The sequence below is a fragment of the Homo sapiens genome, chromosome 11, assembly GCF_000001405.40.
Source record: "Homo sapiens chromosome 11, GRCh38.p14 Primary Assembly".
In the NCBI taxonomy this organism is placed as follows: domain Eukaryota; kingdom Metazoa; phylum Chordata; class Mammalia; order Primates; family Hominidae; genus Homo; species Homo sapiens.
Window position 1 is genome coordinate 105,748,304 of NC_000011.10, and position 12,778 is coordinate 105,761,081.

General features: G+C 36.1%; 1 protein-coding gene across 26 annotated transcripts in view, besides 1 other annotated feature; it reads left to right on the plus strand.

Annotated features, from left to right (window-relative positions):
• The window catches only part of GRIA4 (glutamate ionotropic receptor AMPA type subunit 4), a 372,097-nt gene that overhangs the window by 138,310 nt on the left and 221,009 nt on the right, over window positions 1-12,778 (plus strand). For all 26 annotated transcript variants that reach the window (NR_046356.2, NM_001440383.1, NM_001440386.1 and 23 more), the window contains one exon: window positions 4,678-4,917. Coding sequence is in view for 25 of the 26 variants with exons in the window: in NM_001440383.1 (NP_001427312.1) it covers window positions 4,678-4,917 (240 nt within the window). In the remaining variant the exon portion in view is untranslated. The remainder of the gene's footprint in view (window positions 1-4,677; window positions 4,918-12,778) is intronic.
• Window positions 4,801-6,000: an enhancer, noted in NCBI's record as "CDK7 strongly-dependent group 2 enhancer chr11:105623830-105625029 (GRCh37/hg19 assembly coordinates)". NCBI's record gives its function as "activates an origin of replication core promoter dependent on BRD2, BRD4, P300/CBP, MED14 and CDK7 cofactors, with strong dependence on CDK7, by STARR-seq in HCT116 cells {active_cell/tissue: HCT116}" and the evidence as "EXISTENCE:reporter gene assay evidence [ECO:0000049][PMID:35650434]".

Genomic DNA, 12,778 nt, shown 5'->3' on the forward strand with positions numbered 1-12,778 from the left:
TGGTGGCTGAGTAAAAAGGTTGTCTATCCCCAGAGAATGAGAATGGTATTCTCAAAAGTCACACAGAATCACTTTTGTGATTTTTTTTTTTTTGAGACGGAGTTTTGCTCTTGCTGCCCAGGCTGGAGTGCAGTGGCCCGATCTCAACTCACTGCAACCTCCACCTCTGGGGTTCAAGCAATGATTCTCCTGCCTCAGCCTCCCGAGTAGCTGGGATTACGGGCATGTGCCAGCACGCCCTGCTAATTTTTTTGTATTTTTATTAGAGACGGGTTTTCACCATGTTGGCCAGGATGGTCTCAACCTCCTGATCTCGTGATCCGCCCGCCTTGGCCTCCCAAAGTACTGGGATTACAGGCATGAGCCACCGCGCCCCGCCCCTAGAATCACTTTTGTGATACTTTAATAGTCAAGGCAGTCTCAAAGGCCAACCCAGGTTCAAGTGAGAGGAAAGACTCCAATTCTGAATGGGGAAGTAGCAAAGTTCTAGAAGATAATGTGAAAAAGGAAGAAAACCATTGCAACCATTTCTCAGAAAATTCACTGAGGCGCAGAAGAGGCAAAAGACAATTAGGTACATGAATCTGGAATTCAAGAGAAACATTTGAAGTGGGTGGTACAGTTTGGGGGATCATGAGAACATAGATGGTAATTAAAGCCGCAGAATTGGATGATTTCACGCAGGAAATATATTTAGAATGAAAAGGCGGATCGAGAGAGAATTTTAAGGTGCACTAACTTTAAAGGAGCAGAGTAAGAAGTGTTCAAGGACACTAAGAAACGCCAAGAGAGAGCATAGTTGTGGTGTTAGGAATGCAAGGCAAAGAAGCATTTGAAAGAAATGTCCAAATGTGTCAAACATACCAGGGTATTCCAATAAGATAAAACCTAAACTCTAAGATTTAGGATGTAGTTAGTCGCTAGCAAAGTTGAAGAGACTAGTTTGGGTGGCTGGAAAATGCGGAAGCCAGGTAGATGAATTGAAAAGAGTGTGAACAGAAGACTCCTCAACTATATGGCTGTGAAACAGTAGAGAGATAGGAAGCATGAGGTCAGGAAAGTTCTTTGCTTTATAAAAGAAAAGAGTTGAGCTTGTTTAAAAGCAGTTAGAGGAACTTCTTAAGAGGTGGAAAACTGAAGATACAGGAGAAAGAGAAGGGCCATAGATGGAAGAAAGAACAGTGCTCTTCCTCACCATGCTGCAATGGTCAGTAAAATTCAGCACATCTCTTGGATTGATGTCCCATAACTTGAGAAACACTGAGCTAAGGCCGTGTCCTTTGATTTGTATGTGATATAGAACTACAAATCCTCACAAATTATATAATCATTTGACTTAGCGTGGCATCTGGAAGGTGGCATCTGGAATGAAATTGGGAATGAACCTGATGAGAAGACATATTTAATTAGTTGACACAATCAGGTAAAAAATGGAGTAGTATCATGTGTTTATTGTATGTCTCTATTTATATAATACATAATCCAAGTGATCTTGTTAGTGAAACAGAACACAGAACATGCACTTAAAATTATGACATTTCATTGAAAGTCTTATTCTGATTAGTGTTTATAACTTAAAATATAGAGCAATCTAATATCATTGCATGTATTTAGTGGCTAAGCATTAATTCCCGTTTATTTTGCCATTTTATGAAAACATAAAAATTTACATTTTTCCCTTTTATGTATTCTGAACACATTCAATTCAGCTTAGTTTACTTTCATTAATTTGTTTGAATTTATATAATCTAAGACATTTTATTGTTTGAATAATTATTTGTATGCTAAGCAACAATAGATGTCATAAGATTCAGCCAAGCAAAATTTTGATTCAAGAGTGTTTTCAAAGCTATATTATAATACTATATATGGAAATAACTGTATTTTAAAATTTGAATCACTGGACCAAATAAAATACTGCCCAAGGTATCATACTAACATAATAACATTGAATATTTGCCTGACAATCTATCCTCACACACACAAAACCCAATAACCCTCACTTGCTAAGCCTATGATCTAGACAAAATAGGAAAAAATAAATGTTTAAAAGAATAAGACTACAGCTGTAAATTTGCAAAGGGAAAGTAAAATGCGAGTGACAGAATACATCAGAAGCAAATTTATCAGCCTGAGACTATAGTTTCAAAGTAAGTATATATGAATAGAGGAAGAATGACAGACAACTATGAAAAGGAGAATAAATAGAAATGTATGATGATGCAAATGAACGAAAGCAGATAGAAGACGATAAAATATCAGAAAATATTGTTTGTTGAGGTCCAGTATAATAAATTAAAATATTAAATAGTATAGTGAGTACCAGAATAGTGAAAAGTCATAATGATTACAATGAAAACAATATAATAGGAATAAAGAGTAGATGGACTTTATGTATAGTACAATTGTTGTTTTTGAACTTGAGCAGTGTAGTACACTTTGGACATTAAATTTTATAGAGTCAGTTGTTCAATATTTAAAATAGATGAAAGCAGAAGTGCTCCTGGATTTTTGTGAGGGTGGAAGGGAAGGATACCAAGAAAAGGAGTCCAGCATTGCCCACCCAATGCTATCTCAGCAAAAGTCTTCATAAAAAGCTACATGAGTACTTCCATGGAATTTATGGGGTTCCTAGAAAAACATAATTTAGAAGCCAAAGCTTGAAAATCGTATGGTTTTCAAGTGGCATACTTTAAAAGATTATGTAAATATTCATTATATGCATAAGTTAAAGTACACGACTTGTAAATCCTGTTTGTTTACATTTTCTAGAACAAGTATTAAAATTTGTGTATAGTTTCAGCACAAACTAAAAGCCAGGATCTTAGGTTTGAATTCTACAGCTCTTCAATTTATTTTTGTCAGTAGAGTGAAATACAAATTAATTGAACCATGTTATTTATCATGTAAAGCTTGAGAGTTGGCCCTCAGTTTGCAAGAAAATCAGTAGAACAAAAAATATGAAAATATGAAGGAGCTGAGTAACTCCAGGTTCTAATGGTGTTAAATGTGGACCACTTACATACTTGCATCCAAAGCCTTGGTGGAACATTTACAGATTAGGGTCTGACGCAGCAACTTGATTTATTAGATCACTTAAGTTATAAGAATTGAATTAAGTTAAACTTAAGATGCCTGAAGCTTCAACTAGAAACTTCCTTATATCTTGCAAGAAAATTACAGCCAGTCACATTGTCAGAGCAAGACTTCCATGTTGGTCAGTCTTCTCAGAAGATCAAATTCTAGTTCCTTGGTGAGCATAGAATTAGTTGATGGTTCTTCTTTGATAGAATTTCTTTATAAACCCTAATATAATATCTATCAAAATAAATGGTATTTCTATTTAGAATCTGAATACCTCCTTTCTTGGTTTTGAATCAACTGTAGTATTTTATTCACTAAGACTTTTATTCTCTCATTAAAAAGTAAAACTATTTAACAACATAAATGCACATAGAAAACTGTGTTAAAATCTGCCTCTTATTAATCACCTTCTGTGTCTTCATAGCATAGCACTTTTACATAATTTCATTTAATTCTTGCCATATTATGTATTCATAGCTAATACAAGTAAGATTAGTAACTAAAATCAGAAAACATAAAAATTTTATAGACCTAAACACTTCTTAATCTAGCTACATAAGCCAAGAAGAAATAGGACTGTTAGCCATACATGATAAACCATAAGAATTTGGAATCCAAATAGATTTTCTTTATGGTACCTCCTTTGCGAGCTTCTGTCCCTTAAAATATAAATTGGAAAAAGTCACACCAATTTGGACCAGAAATCAGTTATGTTAAAAGAGTGATAAAAATGTGATTGAAAAAGAATTTTGAGAAGAATCTTTTTCTATTTATGATGTTGCTTCATGGTTTTGTAGCAACTGGGAGCATGGACCAAGAAAGGCAAGATGAGGCCGTGTACCTGTTTCTCTGGGGTCCTCTTACTTTATTTGGCTTGCTTCTGTTGGGTTTTGGAATTGGTTTGTCTTTGCTTTTCGGCCCGCCTACAACATGCGCAGCTGGCCCCAATTCATTAAGCCTCTCAGATATTCCAAGAATGACTTTCTAGCAGCCTAACGTCTGTTTTCAAACATGATTCAAGGAGACTCTAAGATTGTGATTAAAATGAAATTGCCACAGCAAGCAAATAAAAAGTAACAATTTAGGCGGAGTGAAAACTATAATCCAATTCAAGAATAGAAAATATATGCTTATAGTTTAGGCAGGAGGGCAAAAGGTATTATAAATGTTCCTTCAATTAATACTCAAAAATTTCAAGCGTATATAATTGTATGTTTGCATGTAGAAAAAAATACAGAAAATAATTTTGGACTTGTCACACCTAAAGTTCTCTAGCATAGGATTTGCCACATTATTATGGAAGGCCATATTTTTTTTATTTTAGTCAAATTTCCCTTTAATCCAATTGGCTTCTTAATGCAGAATTTTAATTCAGACCAGCTTCACTCAATGTAAGCCTTTGAGTACAAGCTCAATAATTCATTAATTGATTGTGCAATTAATTGCACACTTCACTTATACTCTTTATCTTATACTCCTGACAGATCCAATGATTCAGTGATTTTTATTTTTTTAATTTTCTAGAATGTAGACTTCAAAGTCAACAATTTGAGTGTGCTAATAGTTTGTGGTGTTTTCTTCCTCTTGTTTCAGTCTGTTCCCAGTATTCTAGAGGAGTATTTGCCATTTTTGGACTCTATGATAAGAGGTCGGTACATACCTTGACCTCATTCTGCAGCGCCTTACATATCTCCCTCATCACACCAAGTTTCCCTACTGAGGGGGAGAGCCAGTTTGTGCTGCAACTAAGACCTTCGTTACGAGGAGCACTCTTGAGTTTGCTGGATCACTACGAATGGAACTGTTTTGTCTTCCTGTATGACACAGACAGGGGTAAGTCCAGTTTCTTCATCTATTAGAGCAAAACTCTAATTTTCAATGTGAAATGGCCTTATATGACTTCGGTTTTTAGCAAATTGTTTGATCTCTAACATCACTAAAATCAGAAAATGGTTGATGTGTATTTTTATCTTGACTCTGGGGAAAAATTTCTAATTAAACGAGTTTCAGATTCACAAGGTTACTCCTGAGCAAACCATGCTCTGTAACTTCATTGAAATTAAGATAACTATGTGAATAAGAAAAACAAACCAAAGTGCTTTTCCTGCTCTCACACAACAATCAACAAAAAATAGTTCTGTGACCTCTGGTCACCAACATGTGTGGAGGTTATTCCCATATGCCAGCTAAGCGACCCTCCAGAGCACACATGTACTTCCATTCAATCCTGACATTATCTACCCAGAGTTACGTAGCATCAGATCCTACAGATTGAAGGCTCAGTCCCCCACAAGACTGAACATCACTTTGGAAGCCAACCAGCTATAAATTGGGGTTCCCGTGACCCTTCTCCTTGGGTTCAATTGATTTGCAAGAGCAGATCTCAGTGCTCAGGAAAAACACTTTACTTTCATTTCCTCCTTCATATAAAGGATATTACAGAGGATACAGATGAACAGACAAATAGAAGAAATGGATGGGAAGAGGTGTGGGGAAAGGAGTGTGGGGCTTCCATGCCCTTCCCAGGTGAGCCACCCTCCAGGAATCTCCTCATGTTCAGCCATCCGGAAGCCCTCCTACCTCTGTCCTTTGGGTTTTTATGAAAGCTACATTATGTAGGCATAATTGATTACATCATTGGCCATTGACCAACTTAACTTTCATGTCCCTCTTTCTCCCCAGAGGTTGGTGTATGGGGCTAAAAGTCCCAACCCTCTGATCCTGCCTTCGTCTTTTGGTAACAAGCTCCCATCTTGGAGCTATCTAAGGGCCCCCAACCACCAGTTATCTCATTAGCACACTAGAGACAATCTTCTGTCCCTAGAAATTCCAGGGGGTTTAGTAATAGTAAGTCAGGAAACAGAGAGGAAGATCAAATACATATATCATAATAACTACTTTTTAAAAAATTTCTGTGGTATTTCAGGTTCAGTTGTAACATAAATATGTTACTTTACTTCAAAGGCAAATGAGTTAATGTTTTGGAACATATTAAAATAATTGAGCCATAACATTGAGTTTGAAATACAAAACTCTAAGTGAGTAATTGAAGGGCCATGACGATGATAGAGGTTTGGCAATAAGACTTCTGCTTACTGGCAACCTTTCACTTTACCAGTTTTGAAAGATTAATAAGTGATCCCATGTCACCTGTGTGTGGGAGAGACAAGGTGAATAACTCACATATTGCATTATTAACAATCCATACATTTTGTTCAATGGTTGATATAGCTTTATTTTTCAGCTGGAGGAACAACTTAAGGAGTTGCCATGCATGTTTTCCAATTCTGTTTTTTATTTAGTGACTAGACTCATAGCAACATATTATATTTAAAAATAAGCATTAGGGGATCATCTGTGGATTCTGTCTTCAGGAAATTGTTTTACATAATCCTAACTCTCTTTAATGCTTAATATTCAATGTTTTGCTCACATTACTGCTACGGAAGCTTGTGGTATTATTTTAGAGGTTCCTAAATATCTTGTATCCAATATCTCAATAAATTTTGTAATATTATGTAAATTGTTCCTAGGAGAGATATATTTGGCAAAGCATAGAGCAGAAAATTTTCCTTTGGCTTGTTTCCTTTGGTCTGTTTTGTTTCTTGTTAGCATTTTTTTTACAAAACTATATTCTACATATTGCATAACATATTTTCAGAAACCTGGGGAACAATGTTCTGGGTGGTATAATATGCATATCCTGCTATTGCATGCTAATGCCAATGCAAGAGGTGATGAGGGGATGGAAAGAGTAGTATGTTTATGCAGGAGGAGAGATAGATCTTATTATTTTATTTCTACTTTTTGGGTTTTAGTGTATGCATGTCTTTTATTTTTAAACTGCCTTTAATCCTCTTGCAAAAAAAATGTTGAGATTCAGGTAACAGAAAAAGGAACAAATGAAGAGGAAGAGGCATGAAACACCTTTAAATGACATGCCTTTTATTCCCTCTAAAATAAGTCTCTATAAATCACTCCAGGGAACTCTCCCATTTTTCTTTTGGGTTCTCAACTCCAATACTCTTCTCCTCCATTTTCTTATTGCATTGGAATAAGAAATATTCTTTTGTTCTTTCCCATTTTCTCCTTCCTTCTTAGGAACCTAGAGTAATGAGTAGCTAAGCAACATGATTTCAGGCTCACTGGGAACGTCCGTCCTTTTCTTTTACCAGATATGGATGCTATGATAGTTAATTTTATGTTTCAACTTGACTGAGCTAAGGGATGCCTAGATAGCTAGTAAAACATTATTTCTGAATGTGTCTGTGAGGTTGCCTCCAGCAGAGCTCAGCACTTGAAGTGGTAGACTGAGTAGAGCAGGTAGTTCTTACTAGTGTAGGTGGGCATCAGCCAATCCATTGAAGGCCTAAATAGAACAAAAATTTGGTGGAAGGGTAAATTTGTTCTCTGTGCTTGAGCTGGATCATCCATCTTCTGCCCTTGGACATCGGTGGTCTTGATTCTCAGGCCTCTGGACTCGGACTGGTACTTATGCCATCCATCCTCTGAATTTCAGTCCTTAGGACTTGGACTAAGACGTCATTGCCTCCTCTGGTTCTCAGGCTTTCAGGCTTAGACTAAAATTTCACCACTGGTTCTCCTGATCTTACTGATTATTGGATTTCTCAGCCTCCATAATTGCATGAGCCAATTTCTTATAATAAATCTCTCTTTATGTATCTGTATATATTCTATTGCTTCTGTTTCTCTGGAGACTAATAAGATGCCTAAAAACCCTTAAACCCTAATTCATAAGTAATATAGGAGGATGACAAAGCAGATATCTCCAAGGAATATAGCATATTGACATCAGTTCACAACGAATTAAAATTACAGATACCAACTGCTTTTTAAAAATGTCTTTCAGATAGAGGTGGAATTGGGAAGGTCAGGGGTTAACTGTATACCTGTCAAGTGGATTGGTAGCCATCCAGAGAGAAGTGCTCTGTGTCTGGACTGCAGATCACAAGCACCGTTCTTTTCCTCATTTCTCCCCATCTCTGATTCCTAATTACCGCATTCCACCAACACAAATGTACCATTGATTTGACTACTTAAAATTCCCCTGGTTCATTTTTTCTTATTAAAAGCAAAATTAGAAACAATAGCAAAATAGTTAGTTTACATATAAATTTAGAAAAAGTAAGAATCTTTCAGGTTCTAAGCTTGTAGTATCCCAAGAAGAGATTTATCTTTAATATTTGACAGTACTAAACCCTGTTTTAATAACTCAGAAAAAAAAAAAACTTATGTCCTAACCAACGCCCCCCACCCAAAAAAATACAAAACAAAACAAAACTTCAAGTCTAAAACCGTCACTGGGATGAAGAGGAGTTTCCTTTTTTAAATCTTTTATGAAGACTCTCAGGAAAAAAAAAAATCTCATCAAGATTTACAATAATTTTTATCAGTCATCCAAATATATTTGCTTACAAACTCTTGTTACATTTATAGCCAGACTGACAGTCAATATTTACCTGTTGTCAATTACCAAGTATGAGGATCATCCATCCCAGCAGGAGAAGGAGAACAGCTAACTGTGTCTTTGGAGCATACATTACTGCCTTCCTGCTGGAGCCAAGCCAGTGGGAGAGCAAAAGGAGATACAGGTATAAAAATAACAATGGAGCTTCCTATGGAAATTCTCACTTGTAACTGAGGGAGAAATAACAATCAGAATCAGGCAAGGGAGTCCAACTCTCTTCAGAGCATCTCCTTTGGAGTCACTGCAACATTTATTACTTGCCTTCATTAAACCAGATTCCACAGGCTGTTACTGCTTTGGATTAGAAAGTGGAGAAATGAACTGAGGGGTAAGTGAACGTGGATAAAGGCACATAAATGAGGGTTATGTGTCCGGCTCCTTTAACTTGGTGAGAGGAGGCAAAGGGAGGCGTGTGCCTATCCCCTACCTCCCACTGTCCCGCATTACAGAGTAAAGGATTCGAGGGCAGATGCTAGAAGTCATCCTGAAGGAGTGATGAAATCTAACAAGGGGAATGAATCAGAACAGGGGCACCGAGCAAATAATAATTGATATGAAACTAAAACAAGGGTAGTCAAAGGAAGAAGAAAGCAGAGCAACTAGCAGCAAAATAAACAAAGGGTTGACAGAATGAAGAAATCCTAGAGATGAAATACAGAAGCCTGCAGAGGGTTTCCTGGTGCCAGCGGTTCATTTGAAGGGTTAAAGAGGCCTGAATGGGATGGCAGGGAGACAAATATGCAGACCTCCGTGAATATCTGTACTGGGTCAGTTTCGTTGTCATCACTTACTAGCTTCTGGACACACATTGTTGACTGACACATCAACTGGGTGCTGTTCTTCCTTCCCTATTTCCTTCCCATTGTCAGTATTCAGGTACTGAATATGAGATGAGAGCAGATGTTAATGAGACCTCTGGAAGCCCTGCTCACTGGAAAGGTGATGGTGCCCTACTCCATGGAAATTCAAAAGTCCAACAAACAAATTACAAAATAAGAGTATAGGAGTTCAAAAGTTCTGATTTTTTCCCCATGGTGATCATTTTAATGAATTTTTTGAAATAATAAAATTGTATAAAAATTTTTTGGCTGGGTCTGGTGGCTTATGCCTGTAATTCTGACACTTTAGGAGGACGAAGTGGGAGGATCACTCAAGGCCAGCAGTTTAGGACTAACCTGGACATCATAGCAAGACCCTGTCTCTACAAACAATATAAAAACTAGCTGAGCATGGTGGTGTGCACCTGTAGTCCTGGCTACTCTGGAGGCTGAGGTAGGGAGCATCTCTTAGCCCAGGAATTCAAGGCTGCAGTGAGCTATGATTGGGCCACTGCATTTCAGCCTGGGTGACACAGGGAGACCCCCATCTCTTAATTTTCTTTTTTTTTGCTTTGATAGAGCCCTGAGCATATGCAGAAATTTTCAGTTGAGTTAGTCAACCACGTTCAAGGACTAAGGAAAGAGAACATGTTCCTTAAAAATCTTTAGACTGATGAAATGTGGTTATAATAGTTTAGAAATTTTCTTATATGAAAATAAGGCTGTGTAGGTTTTCTTACTGGTTCCTTGTTTTCAGTGGCCCACAACTTCCTTAAAGCAATAAATTTGCAAATGAATTATGATCTCCTGACAATATATATTTTTAAATGTCATTTATCTGAAGATATAGAGGAAAAGATCTTTTTAAAGCTCTGATGGAACACCTTGCCTCAAGAAAAATTGCCTCAAAGAATTTTCCCTTTTACTACAAAAATGAAACAAATGTATACAAATGATAATGTACAATTAAGGTTGAAATACAGTATGAAACCTATGTCAAAAGTATGCTTTACTTAACAGATGTGCTTTATAATTTATTCATCATGTTATAACAGGTATTGTATCAGAACTATGGAAAGTAGTAACTTACTATTTGTTGCAATGGAAGAGAGTTCTCAGATACAACGTATAAATTCCTTAGAGTTGGACTTATGACATACAGGCCAATATTTTGATGTTAAATGGAAATTTTCTATTTTATATCAAATAGAAATTTTCAGTTCTATAGCACAGATGTTGTCAGTAGAGGACAGTCATAATAATGCAATGTTAAGTGCCTGAAATCAAATACCAGTTTTACCACTTATTACGTGGTTGACCTTGAATAATTTCCCTAATGTCATGAGAGATCTCAGTTTTCTAGTGTGAAAAAATAGTATTAATAATCAAATCTACTGGGTCACTTTGTGTTTTATATAAAGTACTTATAAGTTCCTGGTATTAGTAAAAATTATATTAAGTTATAACTATCATTCTTTTATTACCATCATCATTAATATGTTAGTAATTCATCCTTAAACTCTAATAAATATTTATCATTTTGATATTCTTGGTCATGAATCACGGTGTTTGGTTAATATTTTATATTATGAGATTTAAACCTTCATGCACATTTCTGATTACTACTGCTAAATTCATGAAAAAACAAATCAAAATATAAATTCGTGATAGCTTATTCTCTTTTTCCTTCGCAGGCATCCCTTCCTCTAATTGCCCCTAAAATGCTGACATTTATGTGGGTTCTGTCCTCAGCTACTTTGACTCTGTAAACTTCTTCAATACAAACTACATATGTCACATTCTTAATTAGAATGATTTCATGACTTCTCATTACTCTTCATATAAAGTCCAAATTTAAAAGATGCTCCACAATCTGTCTCCTGATTGTTTCTTCCATCTCATTTCATAGTCCACTTCTCGTGAAATACCAAGATCCAGAGAAAATGGTTTTTCCAAAGATTTGTGCACACTAAGTTCTTTCTCTTGCCTTGACAGCTTTGCAAATGTCATTCCTTCAGCCTTTTTCTTGGGTAACTCTTATTCACCATTTGGGTCTGAGCATAACTTCCTCTGGAAGTCTTCTTCCACACATTGATCTTCAAGTGAGTTAAATCCCCTTCTGTGCATTCCCATAGCATCTATATTATCTCTGTCAAACACTTCATTCTAACTATTTGTTTAATTATGTCTTCATCATCAGGCTTTTTAAGATTTATCATAGTAGAGACTCTGTCTTGCTCATTGAACAAGAATAGTGCCCCCATACAGTCACACTTAATAAATATGAATGAATGAATCATATGGTCTCAATTCCACTTATATAACAATGACTTCAAAATCTGTATTTAGAACTCATTCCTCTCCCCGAGCCAGACTCATTTACGTAGTAACTATTAAATATCCCATTTGTATCACAAAACTCATTATTTCAAGAGTGAATTAATGCTTCTTTTGGTTCATTGCTTCCTTGCTTCTTCTGGTTCATTTTCTACCCTAGAGGGTGACACATGCTACTAATACAGGAGCCTTCTTTACTCCATGTTTTCCCTTCAAGCAACCGTATCTAACCAATCATTAATCCTGCCAAATGTGTATCACCTAAAAATATCCTAAATGCATTTCCTCCTCTGCATTCTAACTACTGCTGCCCTTGTTCTAGGACTCCACTCTCCCACATCAACCAACTTTTCTCCTTGGCCCCAGTACTGCCCTCCTTAAATCCAACTTCTATGCACTTGCCACTGTGAACTATCTGATAATAATTTTTTTCTTGCAATGTTGTTCCTTAGTGACCTATAATTTATATTTATCCCAATGTACTTGACAATTTTGTAGCAAGGTTATATTGGCCTTCTAAACTATGATGCAGAACATGACATATTTTTCTGTTTTCTGGATGAGTTTGCATAATGTTTAAATTAGTTTCTTCTCAAAAGTTTAGTAGAATATGCCTTAAAATATTTGTGTATAAGCTCTGTAAAAGCTTTTTAACCAATGCTTCAATTCCTTTCATGATTCTAAGGCCTATTCATGTTTTTTTTTCACTTCTCTTTCTATCATGTTTGTTAAGGTACATAATATGCATTGTTGTGAAGTACTCAATGGATTCTGGCCAGAAAACATGTTTTCTGATATTAATGGTTTGAAACCCTTTGGGATTTTTTTCATGTTCGAGTACATGGTCAATTTTAACATATTTCATAGGGCTTTAGAAGAATATTTATTTCTGATTTTTAGCTGCAAGGTTCTATATAATCAAAATGCACTATTAAGATTGAAATACAGTGCAAGACCTATGTCAGAGGTTACATATGTTCAAATATTCCGCATTTTTATTAAATTTCTGACTGCTTAACCTAATTGAGAAAAGTACAAGGAAATCTCCCAC